The sequence below is a fragment of the Homo sapiens genome, chromosome 5, assembly GCF_000001405.40.
Source record: "Homo sapiens chromosome 5, GRCh38.p14 Primary Assembly".
Lineage (NCBI taxonomy): Eukaryota > Metazoa > Chordata > Mammalia > Primates > Hominidae > Homo > Homo sapiens.
This window is the reverse complement of record NC_000005.10, coordinates 72356754-72382663: the sequence shown is the minus strand read 5'-3', so window position 1 is coordinate 72382663 and position 25910 is coordinate 72356754. Positions and strand designations below refer to the sequence as shown.

General features: G+C 42.8%; 1 protein-coding gene and 1 pseudogene across 11 annotated transcripts in view; both read right to left on the bottom strand.

The window, feature by feature from the left end:
- On the bottom strand, nucleotides 271-9445 carry RPL10AP8 (ribosomal protein L10a pseudogene 8; annotated as a pseudogene).
- Nucleotides 14269-25910, bottom strand: part of PTCD2 (pentatricopeptide repeat domain 2) — a 48023-nt gene continuing 36381 nt past the window's right edge. For 8 of the 11 annotated variants that reach the window (NM_024754.5, XM_005248601.3, NM_001284405.2 and 5 more), the window contains one exon: nucleotides 14269-24461. In NM_024754.5, the coding sequence (NP_079030.3) occupies nucleotides 24237-24461 (225 nt within the window). In that variant the 3' untranslated portion in view covers nucleotides 14269-24236. The remainder of the gene's footprint in view (nucleotides 24462-25910) is intronic. The other 3 variants (XR_241790.6, XR_007058635.1, XR_948298.3) reach the window with 2 other exon arrangements.

Sequence of the window (25910 nt, the reverse complement as noted above, 5' to 3'; positions counted from 1 at the left end):
TAATTTTTGTATTTTTGTAGAGATGGGGTTTCACCATGTTGGCCAGGCTGGTCTCGAACTCCTGACCTCAAGTGATCTGCCTGCCTCTGCCTCCCAAAGTGCTGGGATTACAGGCGTCGGCCACCGCACCCAGCCTATATCTTGATTATTTTAGATCAGCCACGCAGAGAGGTGGTTGATCTAAAGTAATCAGATATAATAGGCTACTGTAGAGTTCATTAGTTTTTGTTTTTTGTTTTTTGGTGGCACTAGGACCTACCAGGCCATGCCTTAGTCCAGGTGCTGGGGCTTGCCCATGGTGCTCTTCATGTATAAAGCCTGGGCATTCTGCCAATTCACCTTGAGCAGTGACACCAGGAAGCTAACATCCAGAAGGATGTTGTACACAAGCTCATCGTCTGTCATCTTCACATGGCATTGGTCATGGCCAGACACAGCACCTCCGTCAGGAAGTTGATTGTGGACTTCACCTCATCAACTCTGGCCACGATGTTTTCATTGTGCATGAACAGGGAAGGGAATTTGCCAGCTTTATTCAGGCTGGGGCTGAGGATGTGTTTGATCAGAGTCATCATACTTTATGGCCAACTTCTTGATGAGCTTCTTATTCTGGTTGAGTTTCTTCAGCACCCCAAAGCTCACATGGTGATAGCCACAGCCTTGGCTTTATCAAAGTGTTGTTGGTCCCCAGCATACACACAGAGAGCTTGGGGCGGAGAGTGGACTAAAGTTTGCAGGGGGAGCACTTGTCCTTCTGAGTTCATCGTTCTTCAAGGTGATCTTCGGCTATACCCGAAAGTGTCCAGTGCTTGCACTGGTTCCTCTGTGGGACGCCTAGTACAGAGTATCTCGAGAGGTTTTGATGCTCTTGGTGCCTCATGCCACAGAAACAAGAAATGAGCATTACTGTAGAGTCTTGCACCTTCATTTAACTAACTGGTGAAACAATGAAAGTCACTGACCTTCAGTATCTTGGAGTCATGTGTGCCTTTAGGTTTTTACTGAAATTGCAGGACACTAAACTTCTTTTATAACTAGCCGTGTTTGTTCTTGGCTTTTTCTATTGGCCTCTACCACTGTGTCTACGGACCTCAAAACTTCTGATTTCTACCAATAAATTTAATATTTTTGAGAAGGACATTTAAAATGCTTCTCAAGATCACTTTGCGAATCACACCTTCACTTTCCATTTATGGATTTATAGTTTTCTGGGAAGAGGACACATCTTTTCCTTTGAATATGGCCTGGTCTGTCTTCCTATTTAGATTCACAGTTCTCCATCAGCAACCAGCCTTGATCTTGTGCCGTTAGGAATCCAAATTAGTTCACATGTCTGTTCCAACTAGTGCTGGAGTGAAACTCACACCAGGTTTTCCCCCAACATTCTTTATACTTAGTCTGTAACTGGACAAATTGAAATAAATAAGTTCTCCTAGAAATTGTGGCACAGACTTCTTTCTACACAGTCAAGGGTGGGGAAAAAAACACAGCAAAGAATTTTAAATACAGATGTTAAGAGCCATTGGAATCATAGATTGAGGAATGTTTAGGTCTTAGCATCACAGAATTTGGAGTGAAAATGCCCTTTTGATGAGACACAAATCAACTTCCTCATTTTGTGGGTGAGACCAAGACAAGTCAGACAGCTGCTCAGCTTGCCCAGCCAGCAAGTGACAAGGCCGAAATGCAGCTTTCCTGACTACTGGGCCACAGTCTTTCTTCTTCTAGGCTGCCTCCTTTCCTAATCTAGTTGAAAGAAGACATTTACTTAGAAGATTAATATCCCAGAAGTCACTTTGCTTGTCACCTATCACAAAGGAGGAACTGAGTCTCAAGGAGATGAAGTGACTCGCTGAGGGTCACAGGGCTAGCAGGCGCACGCCCATCCCAGGGCACAGGTTGCGCTGCTTCTCATTGCCAACGAGGGCTCTACCAAGTAACTCTGGCATTTTCTGCCAGGGATGGTCAGAGTCCTCGGAGCAGGTGGAAACATTCCTAAAGTCTCACACTCTAGTGGCTGCTCTCAGAAATCCTAAGAGGCCCCCTTCTTTCAATACTCTGAGAAAACAGTCTGTCCTTTAAGACAGTCTAACCCTGCACCTTGTGTCTTATTAAAAATAAATCCTCATGATTCTCCTGGGTTTGTGACTTGTGTAATAGTGCATGTGTTCAGAGTAGTTGTATTTTATTTTCTTGCAGTAAAATGTGTCACTGTTTTCCTCCTAAGTTGGGTTCTTTTGTTTTTAAGGAATACTGCTGTAAGTGAGCTTGAGACCAGAGGGTTTTATTGTAGGAACTGAGATAGTATTGGGGACTGAGGTCACCTGAGAAACTGGTCAGCTCTGGGGACCCAGTACTGTCTCCATCGCTTTCTCACGGCTTCTTCTTCCTCGTGCTTCCGCTCAGATCTCCTCTCTACCGCCTGGCTTATCCTGCTTATTAGAGGTTTCTGAACCTCCCTAACTGTGAGTTACTCATAGGTTTTGCTTGCTATGTCCCTGACTTTCCTTCCCTCAGGGCATCTCTAAGGATATAGGAAAAAAACAAACTCTGTTTCTCTCACTATGCTCTCACAACATACAACGCTTCTGCGACCAAATGTGTGGGTGTATTGTCTCAACACCAAGCAAGCAATAAGTTCTGCAGCAGATACCAGCTGGGTGTCCTCTAAATCAATTCAGTTCTGACACTGTCTACCCGGAGATGGCGTCAGGTCCCACAGGTCGAGGGCTCAGTCCCACAACACTGTCCCCCACTTCCAATGACAATCACAAGCTCCAGGTTGTTTTACCTGTGCTCTGACCAGTCAGCTATAAATCAGGGGTCCCATGGCCCCCTCCTTAGTTTTGATTAATTTGCTAGAGTGGCTTACAGAACTCAGGGAAACACTTAGGTTTACTGGTTTATCCTGAAAGGTGTTACAAAAGATATAGATAAAAGCCAGATGAAAAAGAGGCATAGGGTGAAGTACGTGGGAAGAGGCAAGGAGCTTCCAAGCCCTCCCCAGGCGAGCCGCCCTCCAGGAACCTCCCCCTGTTCAGCTATCTGGAAGTTCCATGAACCCAGTACTTTCGGGTTTTAGGAAAACTTCATTTAGGCATGATTGACTAAATCACTGGCCATTGATGATCAACTTAACCTTCAGCCTCCCCCAAGTTTAGAGAATGGGGCTGAACGTTCCAACTCTATAATCCCCCCTTGGTCTTTTATGGGATCAACCCCCATCCTGAGGCAACCTAGGGCTGCCAGCCACCAGTCATCTCATTTGCATACAAAAGATACTCTTATCACTTTGGAGATTTCAAGGATTTTAGGAGCTGTATGACAGAAAATGAGACAAAGACCAAATATATACTTTATAATATCACAGCATCCTTGCAGTTTCTGTTCTTGTTGCTGTGGGCTCATTCCTTCTGTGTTTCCTAGTTTTAGGAAAGACAGAGAACATGATTGGCTCAGCTCATCTTTTTTGCACTAGGACATAGCTCATAGTTACTGTCCAGCCTATGGGAATGGCTGCCCTTTGGTCAGGTGACTACCCTTGCACCAATCAGATATGGGCAAAGAGGGGTTTCATCACATGGCAAATTACCTGGCAAATTAAACATCTGTTGGTGGGGCAATTTTTTTAGAAGTGGGAGAGGAATTGTAAGCATGTCTAATGCATCTGCTTTTTTTTTTTTTAATTAAGCTTCAAGTGCCGTGGAACTGAATCTGCTAATTGGCATCTTTTGTAAATTTCTTAGGAATTACAAAAAAAAATTGTTATTCAGGAACTCCTTCAACTGTCTAACAGTGAGTCATGGCAATGCTATAATTTCCCGTCCGTGAACTGCTTGGCTATTTTCCAAGTACTCCTATTGGGTTCCACTCCCCTGAGGCTGAAATTTCAGTGTGCCATTGGCAGAGAATGAGCCCTTATGCCCCGGCCTCTGAGCTTTGTCCTGAGAAGGTCTTATGATCTCTATATTCCTGACCTGGCCCATTCCTTTATGACACCTTTAATGAATAGAGGTGAATCTGCAACACTGAACATAAACCTTATGCTCACATGCAAACCTATGCTATGGCCCATATGATAGAAATTAGTTGATTTAGGAGCTTGGGTAGACATGCAGGAAAAAGGAGTTAACCTTTACTGAGCACCTACCATGAACCTGATGTGTATAGAGAATTTGGTGTATAGATGAGGAACCTGATGTTCAGAGAAGGTGAGACACCTGCCCAACAACACACAGCAAGCAGGTAGTAGAGCTAGAATTTAACCCAGATCTCTCTAATTCCAAATCACACTCTTTGCATCATATGTTGAAGTTGGTGGTTGAGAAGGGGTTAGAGGGAGATATTCCAGATGAAGAAAATGGAGACCATTACAGGTAAATATGTGGAGGTGGGTAAACAGAAAGTGGTGTGGGCACTGGAGTGACAGATTTCTGTTGGAATAGAGGGAGATTAAATGTCAGAGGCAGCCAGATTCTTGCACAATATAAAGGCCAGGCCAGGGCGTAACTGACATTTTTGGAGGCCTTGGGGAGTCACTGAAGGCAAGGCAAGGCATGACGTCTCCAAGGCAGCTGTTCAGATTAGAAGGATTAGCCTGGAGACAGGTGTCAGATGGATTGGGATAGGAAGAGACTCGAGGTGATTTAGGCACGCATAACTGTGGAGGGCCCCTGTAATCTCAGGGAATGTTTCACAGCTGGCTTCATTTTATTAAGCAAGGACCCTTTTTAGTCCCTCTCCCTCCTCATCTCTGTAATAGTCACGAGCTTAAAATTGCCTGTCCTCCACAGAAACTAAGTTTGCTGTACAGCATCACGTTTGATGAAGAGAAATTCTGTCAATTTTTTTGTAATAATTTCTATCTGAAGCCTCCGAATGCTGTGTTTTTGATTTTTAAAAACAGAACTACTCCAAAGGGTAGCGAGTACTGGGAAGCCGAGGCTGTGGTCTAAATTTCCCCTGAAAGTCTTAACCACGGGTGAGATTTTGTATGTGTATCAATCATACCATTTCCATCCTCATTCTCTGTTCCTGTCACTCCAAGTGTGAGAAGAGATAGATGATTAAGATAAAGTCCAGTTCCTAGGACTTTACCTTCTATTTCTCCTTTTTCTTTTCCAAAGTAAAATCACCATGAAATTACAAGACGTTGCAGGCAATTTGGCTAAGGTACTTGTGGATTTGCTTTGGGAAGAGTAAAAATCAGCAAATGCTTTCTTCCCCGCATTTTGCAGCTATTGAGGGTATTTATATAATTTGGGCATGGCTAACATAAAGAGTATTGGTGCTGAAACATATCTTTCCTTTACCAGAGATTAAGTATCAAGTTTGGCGATGAATTAGTTTGTCAGTTTTATTGGTGAAAAAACTGAAGTGGAGTTTAACCCCTGGACTCTGCGGGGCTCAGTAATCATGTAGGTGGAAATCCAGTGGATAAAAATGGCAGCAGGATCGTGGCACACCTGTAGTCCCGCCTACTTGGGAGGCTGAGGAGGAAGAATTGTTTGAGTCCAGGAGTTCGAGACCAGCCTGGGCAACGTAGCAAGACCCCCACCTCTACAAAAAATGTTAAAAAAAATCAGCCGGACATGGTGGCAGGTGCCTATAGTCCCAGCTACACAGGCAGCTGAGGCGGGCAGATCTCTTGAGCCCAGGAGTTTGAGTACAGCCTGGGCAACAGAGTACTTCTCTCTAACAAGAAAGAAAAATGGCAACAGGTTGATCTGTGTTTTCCTTTTGCCCTAGGCTAAATTTGGAGCCCCTCTTCCTTGACACACTTGAGGTAATAAAATTCACAGCTTTGACAAAACCACTGGAAGAGGTCCTTCAAGCAAAAGTTAAACTTGTGGTCTCCCCACCCAAGGAAACAGCAATACAACCAAAGCAGAAGCCTTAATTGGCTGCCCTCAATGTGGAGGGTATTGTGCTAGGAGAGAACTTAAATAACTTTTCCTTAAGAGTGTAGTGTCAGATAAATTGTTTACTATAATAGGAACAGTCTTCACTGAAGCAGAGGTGAGTTATTCTATTTAATAATTCCAAGAGCACACTCTTTACCCAGTGCTTTCTCTGCTGAGTCTGAAAAATCAACTCACTGCATTCTTTAGTGCTTAAAGCACAGGTCATTAGACTCACTACACCCAGGGACTCAATGAAATGGCTACCATTTTCAGGGGACTGTGAAGATGTCAAGATGTGAAAGCAACCTCTGGCTACCAAATCAAGGGGCTTTGCTGTGAGGCCTGGGTCAGGCCAGATGCTGGGTGATTCTCAAACCAACACCTTCGAATGGTCTACTGGTTAGGATCACCATGTCCCCTCATGGTCCCATCACAGCTGGATTGGGCGGACCTATGGGGTACTAGAGTTGTAGGTAGGAATGGTGAGAAATCGTTCAAACAGAATGGAATTGGTCAAGGCCAGATTTGTGCACAGTCCTATTTGGTATCCAGTTCAAATCCAAGGAGGTCATCATGGTGGGGTCTCGTCTATATATTTGCACCTCTGGGAATTTGGGGGAGCTAAGGCAGACTGTCCATAATAGAACTAATGACTATTGGTGTTTAAAGTCCTTGGGAAAAAATAGTGGGAACTTTGGGATTCTTGAACAAAGAAAGGAGGCGTGGCCTGTGTCAACTACTCAGAAGGAAGGAGTGCCCCAAGCAGGCAGAGAATTCATCTTCTGAGGTGAAGGAGGGACATAGTTCATATTCCCCATATTGAGACACCTTTTTTTCCTAGTCAAGGGATGCTTTTGTGTATGACAAAGAGCTGTCTTTCTGCCCAGGGCACTTGTAGATTCCTACATTGAGGTTGTCTCAAGGGGCCTTAAAAGTCTGTGGTCACTTAAGGGTCAGACAATTGAAAGTTACCTGAAGGAATTGTATTTGCTTGGGGTGGGGCTGAGATCCAATACCTTTAGTTTTGACAGGAACAGAGCAGATCAGGGACTGCAGGAGAACTGAGGACAGGAGGAAAGAATGACAGCAATTGTTGAGAAATGGAACACCCCAGAAGCAGCGGCCAAAACTCTAGGGAGATAGCAAGGATCGCTGGGGAATGCACGGGACTGGGGGTTTGGAGTTACAGTAACACAACTGTGTGAGAACTTGAAGCCAAATGTCTCTGTGCCCATCACCCAAGCTGTGAATATCGCCAAGGCATGTGTAGCCTGAAAAACCAAGGGTTTCTCTCAAAACTTTGTCAAATATTGGCTACTTTAAAAATGTTACCATTTTCATCAGTTTTGTGATGTGAAAGGCTTGGGAAGGTGGATTCATGCCAGGGATTCATGTGGACAGTTTGCCAGCTGCTGGGGGTGAGGAACAGAGAAGGGACCCCAAGATTAGCTCTTGGGGCAAGACTTGTCCCTCTATGTTAAGAGATGACCTACATACAGGACACAAGTAAGAGGAGATTATCTGACTTGGTGTCCTGTGATATTCTCTGAAAGTTTGTCTGATGTGGCAGATAGCACCAAGATGACAGACATTCTCACCTTCCTCAGGTCAGGTGAGGATCTGAAAATACTAAGTTGCTGAGAATGTCCTCTTTAGTTACCTCTTCATATCTGGGGAAGGGGAAGTCCTGATTTGGTTAAACCAGTCATCTTGCCCTGTAGCCCCTGTGAACAGAGATCAGTCAAGAACCGGAACTGACCATGTAGGAGGTGACTCCATTGATATTTGTACAGCCATTTACAATAAGCATGTATTAATTACGTATTTCTCCGTAACAAGTTACCCCCCAAATTTTGCAGCTTAAATCCACAATAAACATTTATCTCATATAGTCCCTATAAGTCAAGATTTCAGGAGTGGCTTAACTGGCTCTCTTGAAGTTGCAGTCAAGAAATCGCCAGGACTGCAGTCATCTGAAAGCTTGACTGGGGCTGGAGAATCAGTCTACAAGATGGCTCACTTGGATGATCACCTCATGCTGGCAAGAAGCCCAGCTCCTCACCATCTGGACTTCTCCATAGGGCTGCTGAAGTGTCCTCACAACATGGTGTCTGGTGTCTGGCTCTCCCCAGATCAAGTGATCCAAAAGAGAGCAAGACAGAAGCCTCAGTAATTTTTGCAACCTAGTCTCAGAAGTCACACTCAGGCAATTCTCCAATATCTTATTGGTCACATAGATCAGTCCTATTCAGTGTAGGAGGGGACTATATACAAGGGCATGAATACCAGGAGGTCAGAGTCACTGGGCCCACCTCGGAGACTGGCCACCAAAAATAGCCACTACCTATCAAGAGCTTACTGTGAGACAGGCACCTTGCCAATAACCTTACATACAGTAATCCTTCAGAGTTATTGTTTTCTTACTCTCCTCATTTCTACAGATGAGGACACTGAAGCCTAGAGAGGGTACATGACTTCCCAAGGATTTTCCATGCTGAGCTTGCCTTTGGTTTGCACCTCTAAGGAATAAAGTTCAGGTCATATTTTCATTCAGCACACAGACATTGAGTGTCTACTATGAGACAAGCACCGTGTTAGGCTCAAGAATATGAGTAACAGCCAGACCCAAGCCCTGAGGTATGTGAAAAAGTTACAGGCACAAAAATGGCCCTGTGTTTAAGGTATAATCTGGCTCTACAGAGGAAGTCGCCAATTATTTGAGGATAGGAATAGGTCAGAAAAGTCTTATTGTATGGGTGGTACTTGAGGTAAGTCTTAAGGGGTCAGGAACATTCTCAAGTGGGAATGTGCCAGAACTTCAGGCCTGGAGTAGGAGCGGGGAGTTCTGAGTGATTCCTACAGAGCACGTGGGAATCTCCCATCTTCATCTTCTAGCTTTTGGTCTGTGTTTGGTGAAGCCAGATGACACTTTATCGTATGGCCAGCCTAATGGAGCTGGGGGTAGGTGTGGGTGGGGCTAGAACCAGGAGACTCAGGTTTTATGTGCTGTTTTCCCATCCACCCCCTGTATGATCTCTGGCAAATTCTTAGCTTACCTATGCTTTGGTTCTGGCTTCTGTTAAATGAGAATAAAACAATCTTTCCTCACATTGCGGAGGGGGAGGAGCTGGAAGCATGGTTGTGACGATGTCAAATGCAACTGAAAAATTTAAAGCTCTCCTTTCTACATGATCTGAAGTCAGAGCTACTTCCACTGCAACACACTTCTTCTCTGCCACCCCACTCTGCCTGCACCGTACAGACACAGAAGGGCTATAACTTAAAATTTTGTTTTCAGTTACTTTTAGCCAAGGGAAAAGAGTCAACAGCTCCTGAGGATGTTTGGTACACTAGGCTCCCTCTGAAAAAATGTGCAAGCACTTCAGTTGTCCATCTAAAATTGTTACTGAAAAAGTTGGGTGATGGGAGAAGAGAAAGAAGTCTGCTGTTTGCAACTGTGCCATCGTCATCTGTGCTTTGTGCAGCTCTTTCAGGACAACTATCAGGTGGATGACACTACGATTCTTACAGTTGCCATGCATTTCGTTCTCTGAGAAGTCAAGCACATTCTTTTTTTTTTTGATGCAATAATGCTGCAACTTATTATTTTTATTGCAGAAGCAACTAAGCAATATTTTTCCTGTGAACAGCACTCTCATGTATATGTAAACCACAGTCTGCAGTTCCTCAAAAAAAAAAAAAAAGAAAGGGATGCTGAATATTCTTACTCTCAACTGTATGCATATAGGGTACAATTCAATGTAGAAGTCACCACTGCCTTCCTATGCATACCCTGGGCCCCCATCCTCACCATCATCGGCATAGGTGAGCAACTAGATATTTTGGCCAAGCAAAAAAATCTCCCGGAAGTATTGATCATTTCATATATGCGTGAATCTGCTGATACTGTTCATATGAATAATACACACAGAATATTGATCTCCCAAGAGTCATTTTCATTTCATTTTGCTCTTTTCCTTCTCTTGCCTGAAACCTTGGAAAGCTAACCCCACACACTCCTTTATGCTCTTCCTTATCACTTCCCTGAGCCCCTTTCATCTGCACAAGAGCATCAGACAAAATATTGTGACCTGTGCACAACCTCAAAGTGTACTGGCACATCTGTTCCAGTATCTATTGATTTCTAAAGTCATTTTCTCTCTTCTCATCAAGAAAACCCAGACAATTCTGGGGTGGAATTTGGTAATCCTGGATTGAGAAGTGAAGATCACCTTGTTCTATGGAAAGTGAAAGAGGAATTGAAGCAAGGAAGCTAAAGTTCTTCATGTAGTTCCAGAATATCGACTTTCTCCTCTCCTCTTGAGCTTTTCAATTGCCACCAATAGTCAAGGCCTTGTTGCCTGGTGCATTTTTTAAATTATGGCTTTCAATATTTTATTGTGGTTAGAAGAAGATGGGCAAGTATTAAAAGCCCATCGTATTCTTCAAAGACTACTTGTTTTGCTCTTTAATTAACATACAGTAAAATCATTTTCTTGGTGTACAGTTTTATGAGTTTTAATGCATGTATGGATTCATGTAACCACCACCACAATCAGGATATGTAACCGTTTCATCATCCCCCAAAACTCTCATGCTGCCTTCTGTAGTCACACTCTCCCCCACCGAAAACTTGTAACCACTGATCTGTTCTCTTTATTGTTTTGCCTTTTCCAGAAAGTCATGTAAATGACACTTGCCAATTATGTATTGGCATCAGCCAGTATGCAGCTTCTGAGACAGCCTTATTTTCCTCAGTATCACACCTTTCAGATTCATCCATGTTGTTGCATTTATCAATAACTAGTTCTTTTTTATTGATTACTAGGATTCAATTGTTCTCGTGCATATTGAACTCAGCAGCGGTTTTCAGTATAATACAGACCCCATGGGTCCCAGGAAGAAAGGCCGGTTGGGTAACCAAGCGAGGAAGTAGCTAAGGTTCATTCTTCAAATTCTACGGTTACTTGTCATAATCATGTTGGGTGATCATCTGGAGATGAAGAGGCACAGCGGTTTTTATTCAAGAGCAAAAGAAGCCAAGAGAAAGCCGAGGCCCAATCACCTCAGGCTTTCAATAGACCCCTTCCCCCGTGCGGCATCTGCGAGTTCTTTTTTTATTTTGTTTTGTTTTGTTTTGTTTTGTTTTTGAGACGGAGTCTCGGACTGTCGCCCAGGATGGAGTGCAATGGTGTGATCTCAGCTCACTGCAACCTCCGCTTCCCAGGTTCAAGCGATTCCCCTGCCTCAGCCTCCTGAGTAGCCGGGATTACAGGTGCACACCACCACACCCAGCTAATTTTTTGTATTTTTAGTAGAGATGGGGTGTCACTATGTTGGCCAGACTGGTTGATCACTAGTATCTTGACCTCGTGATCCGCCCGCCTTGGCCTCCCAAAGTGCTGGGATTACAGGTGTGAGCCACCGTGCCCGGCCGCGAGTTCTTAACCTACTTCACTTTCAAGCTGCCCAGTGTCTTCCTGACTCAGGCTAATGTAGCAGTTCTCCCCAGCGGGTGATATTGCCCCTCATAAAGCATTTGACAAAGTTGGGAGACATTTTTGGTTGTCAGGACTTGGGGACTGCTACTGGCATCCAGTGGATATTGAGTACCTAAGTGCCAGGCAATATTCTGTGCTGGGGATACAGGTGTGGACACAAAAGGCAGAGTCCCTGCCCTCATGGGGCTTACAGTCTAGAGCAGGGGTTGGCAAACTTTTTCTGTAAAAGGCCAGATGATCAATATTTTCAGCTTTGTGGACCATGTAGTCTCTATTGCAGTGTGAAGGCCAACAAAGACAATGTGCAAACAGATGATAGTGTCCGTGCCCCAATGCAACTTGACTTACAAAAGTAGGCAGCTTGTATGACGTAGCCCTCAGGCTGTAATTTGCCAACTCTTCTTCTAGCGAGAAGACAAATCATTGACAAACAAATATAAAATTCAAGTAGTAAGTGCTATATATTTTTTTTAAAGGCAAGATAAGGGATAGAGAGGAGGAAAGGTGCAATTTAGACTAGGTGGTCAGGGAAGGCCTCTCTGAGGAGGTGACATTTGATCAGGCACCTGAATGACATGCAGGACTGAGCCAGAGGGAACAGCAAGTGCAAACGCCCTGAAGCAGGAATGTGCTGGTGTCTTCAAGGAACAGAAAGAAGACCAGGGTGCAGGAATAACGCACGGAAGGTGTGGGGAAGCTGAGGTTAGAGAGGTCAGTGGGCTCAGGGCATGTTAGCACTTGGACTTCGGAGTTGATGCTCAGGGTGCTGAGAAGCCTTGGGGGCTTTGGGAGAGGGATGCCATGTTCCACATTCTCACCATCAAGCAGAAGAGTTCAGGTGACTTTTCATGGCCTCCATTCATCCACATGTGGGTTTGGGTGAATTAGTGAAAGGTGCCTCTCCCTGTTGGCAGCAGCAGCCTTGGATCCTGGCCTCCACTCCCCACCTCTGCCACATGCCTGTAGTTGGGGTATGACTTGCACAGCTGTACATTCCAGTCCTTGGTCTTAAGTGCTGCTGAGGTTACTTAAACTTTAAGCAAATGGTATTCTTCAGACTTTCTAGGACTTTAATATATTTGGTATGCAAATTATTGTTATTAGGCAGTGGTTTCTGGGGCTCCAGCTCAGTGTTCCAGGGCAGATTGGAGAACATCTAATCTGAGGGTGCCCTTCCTTTTCCCTTGAAAGGAATCTCGACCCATTCCTGAGACCTTTCACTGCTGGGACCAGCAGTCCCCCTTCTTTGCTTTGAGGTAATGCAAAGTGGTATGAATGAGGGAAACAAAGAGTAAGCAGCAAAGGCATCTCCCTAAGTTATGGAAACTTGCATAAAAGGAACCTTGTGGCAATAGTGAGGCCTTTCATTTCCTATTCTTTATTAAATGACAGGTTGCCAGGAAAGCACTGTCACACATTTGCATGCAGGTTAAATTTCTCAAAATCTGAGCCCCTACAGCGAGTGACAGTGGGAAGTGTGAAAGAAAGGCTCAAGATTCGCTGCTGTGCTGTTGTTATTGTCAATGGGTAAATTTCTTTAGCAACTTGTGGTTCTATTGGAACTGACTGGAACAAATCCAGCCATGAGCTATTTGTTAGTTGGTTTTCTTTTCTATTTATTATTTTGAATGGAAAGCATGATAACCAGGGATAAATAATGAAAGGCATTTTCGTTATCATCATTTAATACCAAACATAGGTGACTACAGAAATCCTAAAATAACTAGATGAGCTCATCATGGACCAACATCTTTCACTTTTCTAATGTGCTTTTGGAGGTTTTGACACCAGGAATGCTGCAGTGCTTTCCAAATAGTGTGGACTTTACCTAGAAGTATTATGAACTGAGTCATAATGAACATCATGGTTCACTCTTTTCCCATGGTTGTCTTAATTAGCTGCACAATTTTCCCTGATCTCACTTGAAACAATCTTCAAATTCTTACCCAGAGGTTTGATTGAGCATTTTCTATTCATTTGTCAATTCTAAGAACTAGTTACTGGGATTAACTTACAAATGAATATTCCTTCCCTAATTGCTGCAGACAAATGCAGTTTGGCTGCTTCAACTTAAAACAATAAAGATGAAAGTAGTAGTATAATATAATTAATTTTGTGGTAGTAAGCATCTTCTAAGCTGTAAGTAGAGGATGAGACATGTAGTTCCAGAGTTGGGCTTTAAACCTACATCTAAAGTTCATTGTTATTAGGTGGTATCTGAATATTAGGCCTGGAAATACTGAATTGGCAAACATTTTTCTGTTTTTAATCTTTCCTCTATGTTTTCCAGGGGAAAAAACTGATATTTGTTAATATTCTCCTTCAAATAAACTGGGAAAGTTAAAATGTACCTTGGGTTGCAGTAAAAGATGGTTGTGTAGTAGGTTGATCTTTCCCATGGCTTACCTTGAGGGACTTTACTCATGTCAAAGGCTGCATAAGATGCTGGGCATTGGGAGACACATTTGGGGAGCAAATGGACAGCTCCAAGTGTCCTTGTCACCTTTCTACAGGATGTAGCCCAAGGGCAGCTGGTGAGGAAAATGATTTTTAGGCTTGTTGCTTGCTTTTCTCAACTTGGCCTACACATCTTCTCCCTTGAAATAAGAGTTTTAGGCTTGGGAGAAAACAGGACTGAAAGCAAACCTCTGGCTTCTCCTAAGTTCCAGTAAAGCAGCCTCTACTCTGAGTCAGTGAGTGAAAGAGTGAGAACACAGGAAGCCAAGCTCTGTCACAAAAGAACCTGAAAAAGGGACCTAAAATATTTTTTTTTCAAAGGGAGAAGCATTAACAAAATGATGGGGAAGACACAAAATAGAAGAACAGAGAAAGAAGAGGAAGTAAAATTCAAGGAGAAAAAAAAATCATAACACATTAGTTTATTTGAAATGTGAACAGACAGCAAAATTGCACATGGCCCATTTAGTCCAGCTTGCTTGCCAACTCTTCTACTCAAAGACAGGGGGACCTATTCCGCCTATCTGTCTCAGAACCTTTAAAATGGGGTCAGGAAATTTGCTACTTGGGCTTAGCAATGTGCTGGTTGTCTTTGTCCCACACTCTGCATCTATCTAGGTGTTTTGCATATAAGAACATTTCAATAGCATTAAATCATCAACAACCTAAAAGTCATGTCTACACCTGCAAAGTGAAATGTGGAATTGAGATAGTTTAGAGAAGAAAAAGGGATTTTTGAAAATAGACCCAAATAGTCCATATGAAAAAAAGATTTATACTTTTGGGCAAGACTCATGGCCCACTGAATTTGATATTTTGACTCTAAGGGTGTATCACAGGCTGTGGAATGAAAGGGGTATAGGAGCCCAGAGCCACTCAATTGGTTCACTGGTTAACCGCCCAGCTCTCCACTTTGTCATGGTGGGTCCTGCAGAAGTGAGCTTCATGCTACTGATTATTTACTTGCAAAGTGGGCGTTGTGCCTGGGTGATACCCTGCCTCCCTATGCAGTGCAGTAGAACACAGCCTAACTGTGTTCCTCCCTCCACTTCTAACACCTGAATGAGATAAAAGCCTGCTTAACACAGCATGTAAAGAAAGACTGAGTTCTGGCCACTCAACTCCAGACTCCTAGAGGTGTTTGACCAAATGGCCATCAACCAGGTGTTTTGGGTTTTTTTCATTTGATAAGTGAGGTAAATCACAGACATTATGTAAGGAATATGTACAATAGGATTTTCCCCAAGATTTTTTCTAGTACCTTTATCCCTGAGCTGGTGTGGCCAAACCATACCAACTCTGTGGGCCACATTGTTTAGAGTCATTAACAGTTTGTTTCTTTTACCTCATCAGTTGTTGTACAATGCACAGTTGCACTAGGGTCTCCTCTAGGTACTTTGGGTGGTTTTCAAGAATGTATCTATCGATGCCCATGAAGAAGTCATCTTGAACAAGGGCATCTGTCCTTTCTTCCTCCTGAGCTCTGGTCTCTGTCAGGGATATCTCTCATCAGAATCCCCATCCCAGCCCCAGTATAGTTAGTGCTCTGTGAAGTCTCAATATATATTAAAGTTTCATGATAATGGGAATTTCATCTTTGACCTATTCTTAGAGATGGGCAGTGATAAATACACCGGGAATCCAACATTTCCCTCACTTAAATGGAGAACGCTCCAAGATTTAGTCATTCCTGATGATGGCAGGAAGAGACAGTAAGGTTGACTATCATTTGATGAATCTGGAAGGGTAGAGAGACAATCAAAATAACCAAGATCCTAATTCCTTTTTACTTCTTTCACACACAAATGTGATTTTAGTTAATAAAGGCAAACAGTTAATTGGGGGGATTTTCCTTCTCAATTTGGGAGGAAACCCTTTCCCAAGTGAGACAAATGACCATCCTTTTTCTTTCATAAGAAACTGAGTGTATGTTTTCTCACAAAACATCTAATGTGTGTGTGCATGTGTGCTCACGTGTACACGCACATGGACACATTGCATGATACTTACATTGGTCTACTTTCTGCAGAGGATCAACTTTACTGCTTTCTCTCTTTTAAAAGTATCCTTTCAACACTAAATATTTCTTAACCTGCGTGAAGGCAATATTCTATATACTCCCTAAAGTCTATCTACAGCTACCTTTCCTGTCTAGCCTGCTATGTGGACCTCTGTTCTCTCTGAATTCCAGAAATGCTTTTGAAAACTAGCACCTTTTAAAAATAGTGACTCTGGACGCCCTCTGCCGTCTATTGTAAGTTCTTCAGCTCTGCTACTGACAGCAAAGCAGGAAGTTGGCCAGGGATTATTGAGAATACATGCACACAGCCAGCACTTGGGCAGGCAATACAGAGATAAGGTTAAAAACATGACCTCCAGCATCAGACCTCCTGGGTTCAAATACTGTGCTCTCCCGCTCTCTAGTGTTATATCCACAGGCAAGCAACTAAACGTCTCTGAGCTTCAGTTTCTTTATCTGAGAAATGGCATAATAGTACTTTATGGGGTTTCCCAGGGATCAAATGAGATAAAGTGCTTTGCACAGGACCTGGCAAATGGTAAGTCTTATTATTATTATTATTATTTGAAACATAGTTTCGCTCTTGTCGCCTAGGCTAGAGTGCAATGGCGCAGTCTAGGCTCACTGTAACCTCCGTCTCCCAGGTTCAAGCAATTCTCCCGTCTCAACCTCCTGAGTAGCTGAAATTACAGATGCCCGCCACCACGCCTGGCTAATTTTTTTGTATTTTTAGTAGAGATGGGGTTTCACCATGCTGGCCAGGCTGGTCTAGAACCCCTGACCTCAGGTGATCTGCCTGCCTCGGCCTCCCTAAGTGCTGGGATTACAAACTTGAGCTACCTTGCCCAGCTGGTAAGTCTTATATGTTATCTATTTTTGTCTATAATCTTTGTAATTTTATGAACCCTGGCTTTTTATAAGCCCCGTTTTTGTTGAATTCTGTATCACCTAAGGACCAATGTGTTAAAAATCGATTATGATCTTCTAAATTGGAAATGACATTTTCTCTGCTCTCTATAGCTTTTTTATATAATGACAAGCTTTTTAGGCCAAAGCCTCATGATGCATGCAGCCATCTTGCTACCAGCTATAACCGGAACATACTCCTCACCCTACCTGACATCAACCCAGTAATTTGCAGCTATAAAATGGAAGGTTAACTTAATCCTCTTCAGTCTTCATGGCTACATGAGTCTCCCTGGGATGCGGTAGAATACATCAGCAGATTCTGTTACTATTAGTTACCAGGAATGAGACTTGCACTTGCGGATTCAAAATCAAATTGAGTTGTAGGGCAGTCACTTTGCAGGGGTTATGCCTTCCTTCATGCTGTCAATTGTAACAGATGATGTTGCTGTCTAGGGGTAAGGGCTACTTTGGGGATTGAAAGACAGGGTGATGCTGTGCTCTTCTGGGTGAGCATCTTGGCCTGATTCAGTCAGGAAAAAGGAATCAGGGAAGACAAGGGATTTACAAAGAAAGCATCACTCTACTCTGACAATGCATTTCCAGGCAGGCCCGCAGTTCACAGACCAGTTCACAGACCGTGATGCCTTGCAGGCCATCTCAGAGGCCCCTGGTTCTCTTTCTTCTCCTGATTAAATGAGGCCTTCCTCTCCTATCCCAGAGCAGCCAGCTCTGCAGTGTTTCAGCTGCAGGGCAGTGATTAGCAGGTAAGCATGTGGTTCCCTTTCCCTCTGGGCCTTCTTTCCCCATCCCCATCTTTAATGCCTGTGGTAATGCTGCCTCTGAGGCCCTTGGAAGAAAGTCAGCTGGGCAAGGCAGGCCAAGCGGGGAGGTGAGCAGTTCAGCAGCGCTTTGATCCTCTTTCATTAGCAACTTGAAAGTCACCTGGAACCGTTGTGCCCACCGCCTACTCCCCCAACCCCTCGCCAAATCACTTCTTTCTCAGATTAGCTGTGTGCTTCGAATGTCTGGGGGGAAACGCCCACGGATACATTACTGCAAGATACAGGGGCCCTGGTCCAGTACATGAATGCACTGGCCAACCCAGGACCCCCGCACAGGCAAGTCATTCTACTTGTCTGTGTCTTGGCTCTGTCATGTGTAAAACCGGGACAGAAACAGCAACCAGTTTATGAGAAAACTGTGAAATGCCTAAAGTATATTGTGGCAGACTGTACATATTAACTAAAATCTGCCGTTAATTAATGAAATCACTCTTTCAAAAAATATTAAGACCTCATTAGATGTATAAATAATATGCTACATAAGCACCTTGGGGTCATATAAAACAAATGTAGAATACTCTGTTCTTCAGGAGAGACCGGATATGGAGAAAAAGATCTGTAACAATACAAGGCAGTGTACTTTACATGTTAAAATAAATGACACAGACAACTGGTTTTACAAAACACCAGCAAAAGGTCTTCCTTTATACATGCCACAGGGTGATATGAAGATTACCCTAGACTTAGCACTTATCCCAACTGCAATCATGTGGTCATTTGCCCAGTTATCTTTTTGATGTCTGTTGCTCTTGCAGAATGCAAGCTCCATGGGAACAGAGGACATTTAAAAAATCTTCTTGTTTTGACTCCATGTTATTGAATAAAACATATCTCAATCAGAATACACCAATTTCCATTAATTTTTGAGAACACTTTTTTGAGCTAATGCCATTTAAGCCAATGTAATTCCTTGATTCATTTTCTATGCAATACAGTTGAACCACTTCCTTTTAAAAAATACCATTTCACTTTTATTTTTGTGCAACCATTTCCTTAGAATCAATTTTACCATGATTTGGTTCCTCACGGTTTCTTATGCATATCAAATATTACTGATGATAGCTTTTGCCGCTGTAATCTTTTTTATGGCTAGTTTATCTATGAAGTGTAATTTCTCTGAATCAAATTTATAGGTAGAAATGTTATGAAGGAAATTTGAATTGTGGGTTATTTTAGTCAAGTCTCATGTAGTTTTGCCACAATTGGCCTTAGTTTGTATGGATTTCTTTATGTATATTTGAAAAAATAAATGGATATATTTTTCAATGTCTTTAACCTAATGCCTTGGAACTCTTGATTCAATTAATTCATTGGTGGGCTTGGGGTCAGCAAGAGAGAATAGCAGAGGAAGGGTACTTATTATGTGTAGGGCAGATGGTAGAGACTACAGACCTCAGCAGTGGGTGCTGGCATGACCCTCTAAAAGGCCTGCTGGGCCCAACACTGCATCAGCACATTATTTACTCAGGAGTCCAGAGACAAGGCCAGACTTCCCACTCTTCCCCCTCCTCACAACTGAGACCAGAGGACACAGAGGATGAATCTGAAGCCCACAACTCCTGTCCACATAGACACACAAGACACACAAGCTTTCTGTTATACCAACTATTCTTAAAGTGTGTTGCCCAGACTAGCAAAGGCATCATCTGAGAATGCATTTGTAATGCAAATTCTTGGGCCCTGACTCATATGTATGGAATCAGATATTCTGGGGGTGGGGCCCATCAATCTGTATTTTAACAAGCTCTCCAAGTGATTCTGATGCCTGTTCAGGTTTAAGATGAGAGCCTGTTCAGCTGTCATCTTGGCTATGAAAAGGTAGGAGGAAGATACGCAAAAAGATTGAACATTTACCTCAAAGAAATCAAAGACTAAAATATCCTTTAAGCAAGATCAAGTCTCCCATGACTCCTGTTTTCAGTATAACCAGAGTTCATAAGAAGTTTTAGTTCACTGCAAAGAAACAGAGAAGCCTACATTTTTGCCTACCCAAATTGTAGCAGGTAAATCCTTACCTCCTCATTATAATATCCCAACAATATTCATTATGAGTAGTTAAAAGTTTGTATTTATTTCCTGAATCATCCTCAACAAAACTATCAACAAATATTGCCCAGGATTGTTTTATTTCACAACCAAGTCCATTCTTCAGTAGGAATTTGGCCACTCTGTAATGAGCACCTCCTACAGAAACAAAAAGATCCCTGGGAGTCAACATGGCAGGCTAAAATTTTCTGTGTTGGGACAGAGATCTTGTCTGTCTTTTCCCTGTGGCATGTAGAGTCTTTCGTAGTGCCTTGTCCTTTGTAGATTCTCAAAATAGATATGGTGAATTAATGGAGAATCCTTGAGAATTTAAAGAGCTTGCAAATGCCTCATTGAAAAAGTGACACAAGTTAGACCTTGAATAATAGGCAGAACAGAATAGAGAAAGAGTGGGGACACTTTGGTTGGGAGGAGGAAGGGATACACAGTGGGCTGAGCAAAACTTGGAGTCAGGTCTAAATGTGGAAGGTTGGGACTGGCTGTCTTAGTCTCTTCAGGCTGCTATAACAAAATACCAAAAACTGGGTGGCTTATAAATAACAGAAATATATTTCTCACAGTTCTGAAGGCTGGGAAATCCAAGAACAAGACACCAGCATTTGGTGTCTAGTGAGAGCCCATTTTCTGGTTCATAGACAGCGTCTTTTTGCCATGACCTCGCTTAAAGGAAGGGGTGACCAAATTTCTTTGGGCTTGTTTTATAATGACACAAATCCCATTCATGAGGGCACCACCCTAATTCCTTCCCAAAGGCTACATCATCTAATACCAACACCTTGGGGATTTGGAGTTCAACATATGAGTTTGGGGGGACATTCAGACCCTGCACTGAGTGTATGGTATTAGAGACGAAAAGCTGTCCATGGGGGACCAATATGACCACCAACATTGTTATACAATATAGTTAAATGAGCTGGTGAGTTAAATAAGTACTAATCCTCTGATACATCCCCTACCATGCTAGGCACCCAGCAAACAGAGCAGAAAGGACAGACATGGCACCTGAGTCTAGTGAAGAAAACAGACAGTGACAGGCATATGATAAGCACTTTGATAAATGAGGTACATGGGGCACATGGGGAGTTCACCTAACCAGGTGAGACTAGACCAGAAAGCCTTCTCAGATGAAAAGATGTCTAAGCCAAGACCTGAATGATGAGTAGGAATTAGCCATTCCACAAGAGGGGAAGAGGGGCGTAGAGTAGCAAGAGTTGGAGCTGGATGGACAAATGTGGGCCAGATTAGGAAGGACCTTCTAAACCATGTTGAAGAGCCTGAGCTTTATCCAGAAGCATGTGAGGTCCTCAGGAGGTTTTAAACAGGGGAGAAAACAGACTATCTACTACAGTTTCACAGAATTTATTCTTTGAAATTCCTACCACTGAGATGGGATATATGCTCCCTCCATTTGAATCTGGGGGGGCTTGGGACTTTAGTGGAAGTGATGTTATGAGACTTCTGAGACTAGGTCATAAAATGTAACTGCTTCTGCCTGGTCCTCTTGGGACAGTCACTCCTAGTACCTAGCCACCATGCTGTGGGGAAGCTATGTGTAGACATGTTCCAGCCCCAGCACTAGCTGAGGTCCTAGCATCAACTGCCAGAAATACTAAGGAAGCCTTTGAGATTATGCCAGTCGCGGCCACAATCTGATGATGACTATAACTGCATGAGAACCCGAATAAGAACTGTCTGGCTGAGCCCAGTCAGTACTTAGGATAATGAGAAATAACACAATGACTGGTGTTGTTTAAAGTCACTGAGTTTTGGAGTGTTTTCCACACAGCAATCAATAACCAGAACTATCCCTGATATCACCTAATTAAGAAGATATCTTTTTGTCTCCTTCTAGTAACTGTGCTGAACTCATCATACTGATTTCTGGGACTCTGGAGCAACAGATATCTACAGTAAGTAAAAACAATCTACAAAAGCACATAACAGAGTTAAGGAATAAGATGTTCTGTCCAATCAAATATTTTCATTAACAGGATAAGTAGGCCAGGTGCGGTGGCTCATGCCTGTAATCCCAGCACTTTGGGAGGCCAAGGCAGGCAGATCACTTGAGGATAAGAGTTAGAGACCAGCCTGGCCAACATGGTGAAACCCCATCTCTACTAAAAAAATACAAAAAATAAGCCAGTGTGGTGGCACACAACTGTATTCCCAGCTACTTGGGAGGCTGGGGCATGAGAATTGCTTGAACCCAGGAGGCAGAAGTTGCAGTGAGCTGAGATCACACCACTGCACTCCAGCCTGGGCGACAGAGTGAAATTGTGTCTCAAAAAAAAAAAAACCCCAAAGCAGAAAAAAACAAGTAAATGATGTAGGCAAACTACTGCTTATAAAGAAACATCATTTTTTCAAAGGAATTACTGAGTTTTAAAGAATGAAATGCCTATCATAACCTATACTGAACACTGTTTTATTGGACTTTTAAGACTTTAAAATCATCTATTACTTTGGGGTGAACATTATGCATATAGCTACCTCTGTACTGAGGTTTCTGGGAACAGGTGGAATGGACCAGTTTTTCCAGTCGGCTGGGCAGCAGGGATTGGGAAGCTTGTTGCTATTTACTGCTCACAAAATTTGGTTATTTCGCTAATGAATGGTTGTTAGCTAACAACCAAGGCCACACTCACCCACAGCACTGGAGCCATTTGAACTGTGAGAGTTGGAGAAGATGAAAAGTAAGCTGGGGGGACAGGAAGCATGCCCTATTATTCCCTAAGACTGAAAGTGGAGAAATCCAAGCACTTTTTTTTTTTTTTTTGCATGTGCAAAACACCAGACACATACAGAAACAATTAGGATTCTATGAGGGCAGAGAATTTGTTTCTCTAAATGGGGCTGTTCAATGTTTCACAGAGCACAAGGACAAGAAATTCAATATTTTTGAGCAGAAGGAAGAACTCATTTGTTTTTATAATTCCTTAACTAGTTTCAAACATATTGCATGTACTATGTGCCAGCCACTATCTGCTTGCTTTATATTCCCTATCTCATTTCATCCTCACACCAAGCCTAAGAGGTCGGTACCATTATCCCCATTTACCAAATGAGGAAACTGAGGATGCCCAGGGCCACACAGTAATGGGGGCCCTTAGTATTCTGTTTCTTAAGAGCTGCTCCTTTTTCCCCTCTGAAAAGAGATAATGTGGTACAGTGGGAAGGATACTAGACTAGGAATCTGGATTCTAATCTCAGCTCTACCACAAATCAATTATACCAATGTGCGACTCTCATATGCGGATCCTGTCCTCAGGTGGGATTGTGATCTCAGACCTGGATTCAGCAAACACCTGAAGCTGTGACTCTCTTACTGGGACACAGTCTACAGTTGAGATTGGGCCTCTCTTGCATGGATCGTTTCCTTAACCTGAAAGATGAAGGAATTAATTAGGAGACTCAGAAGACTTCTCCTAGTCTACAATTTCTGACTCTATAATCCTTGCCTTAGAACAACAACCAAGTGAACAGTCTTAGTTTTGGAGGTGGCAATGAAGAGTCTGCAGCAATCTTGGCAGACAGCTCCTGAGGTCTGAGCAACCCTCTGGGCTTTCTGAAACAAAAGGAGCAAGTGAGGTGGGGTCACTGTGTATCTTCTGCTCACTGGTGACCAGACACGGTAAAATTCAACACATACTATATTTGAGACCATAAGTATGAAGCAGCTTTGAACTGCTCTCATGGCACATTTTTTTTTAATATGAGGCATTCAAGAGAGAAAAATCATTAACAAATAAGATAAACTATAGGACTAAATATTTATTATCCACATAGAAACCAAAGCATTATGTGGTTTTTAGTGGCACTTATTTTGAAAAGCACATGGCTTACCCATGAACAAAGCAGTAGTCATTTAAATTTGGCTTACTCAGCAGTCCTAAAGGCTAAATTCTGGTTTTGTTTGTGCTGCTGAGAAAACAAAACAACCACAATCCCAGCAAGTTTCCTTATGAACCTTATTTCTCTTATTTTTGAGAAAATATGATCCTACTAAACCTTGAATGAAGATTTCAAATCTATATGCAAAGACACATAGGCATTATTGTTTTGCAGATGGAAAAATAAGGGCTCAAGTCATAGACATATATGATGGCAGAGCAATGAGAAAATCCTGGGCTGTTTTCTAACATGGTAAAATAGGGTTTCATACCTCCTGAATTCAGCAAGGATGTAATTTGCAAGTAACTACTCCTTTGAAAATCAGAGTTATCCACACTTGTAGTGAAATTCATTCCTGATGGTGCTTACTGGGTTCCACTCTGGTGTCGGAAGCTGAACCGGAGACTGACCAGGTTCCTTCAAGGATCCTCAGCCATGCAAAAGGGAAGCGCCTTTCTGAGGGAGCCAAGCTTGCATCTAGACCTTCACAGTGGTGCAACATAACTTCTCAGAGATCGGCATGGTACCATTCAGTGAATTTGGGAATTTCAGGAGAAGACCAAGTGTCAGCACACTGTCTGCTGAAGTGCGATACCTGGCTTCTTAGGAAAGGTAATAACTCACTAGAAGCAGGCCCCTCAGATCCATAGGTGGACTGAAACCAGGGTTACTCAGCCAACAGGGACTGGCTGAGTGGCTGGAAGGTGCGACGGCTGACCATCCTCTTGTTTAATAGCAACGTGTGAGATTTCCTGTCCCTGGGGGTGTGGCAGAGCACAGCATCCAAAGAATCAGTGGTGACCTGGCCAGTGATGTGCAGTGTCCCATAGATCTCATCAAATTTGGCCACAAGGGCAGGCACATCCTTCACTTTTTCCCTCACTTTGGCCAGCTGGAAAAAAGCAAGAACACATCATTACATCTCTGCAAGATTTCTTCCTTATTCTTACTATAACCCTAAGAAAAAGAAATGGACATGAACAAAAATGTATGGTAGGCCAGGCGAGGTGGCCCATGCTTTAATCTAAGCAATTTTGGACGCTGAGACAGGAGGACTGCTTGAGCACAGGATTTCTAGGCCAGCCTAGGCAACACAGTGAGACTTTGTCTGTAAAAAAATTTTTTTAAAAATTAGTTGGTGTAGTGGGAGGATCACTTAAGCCCAGGAGACAGAGGCTGCAGTGAGCTGTGATCGTGCCACTGTACTCCAGCCTTGGCGACAGAGTGAGTCTTAAAAAAAAAAAAAAGTATGGTATACACCTAAAATCGTGAAAACCAGGGTACTGGGGCACACAGACAGCAGTATTACTATGAGGGATTCCAAAAGCTACACACAAAATTCAAAATTAGTACTTGAAAATCATACCTAATATAAAAAAAGGGGGGTTCAAATAACACATCATATATAATGAAACACACCAAGTAAAGGAGGTCATATACCAGTGGAATCAACTTTGTTCAATGTAATGATTAGAGCAGGAGGAGGCAGGGCCAAATTACATAGGCTTTATATATATTCCACAATAAGTTTTTTGAAATTTATTCTAAAAAAGCCATCAGAGCATCTAAAGTGGGAAATGATCTCATTTCTGTTCAAAAAGTTGCAGAGAATGAACTGGAGTGTACAGAAATGTGGAGACTATTCTGGAGGCCCACACCATAGCCCAGATAAGAAACAATGGTAGTTGAGATTGGGAAAGGTACAGAAAAGAAGGAGAAGTACACTTATGTGAGGTATATTTTGGAGTTTACACTGAAAGGACTTATTTTTGAATGGGTGAAGGAAAGGGAGGTGTCAAAGCTATCTTCTCAATTGGGGCTTTAATAGCTTGATGATGGGTGCTATCATTTCCTGATAGAGAAGACAGGGAGGCGAGATTTGGAAGGGAAAATCAAGAGCTCTGTTTGGACCTGATTGAGACGGCTGTGAACCATCTAAATGGGTATGTCTAGAACGTTGTTGGATATACAAGTCTGGGGCATGAAGGAGAGGTCTGGGCTAGAGGCATACGTAGTAGAGTCACAAGTATATGATGGTATTTAACCCCCAAAATGGGTGAACTAGAATGGAGAATGTGAAGCTGCTTTCTGAATAAAATCAGCATTTTACTTAGTTCAATCCTTATCAAGGGTACAATCTCAACACATTTCTTGATGGAATTTAATTGGGATCAAGCTTCCTAATAAATCCTTTGCCCCTCTTCCACCTCTTCCAAATATATAACACTGTTTGCACCTGCACATCTTCCTTTGAGACAATGGCTCCCAACCATGCCTGCAGACAAGCAGCTTAAGCACTTCTTAATGTTCTTAAAAAAGAATAGCTTGTTTAGTCCTCATG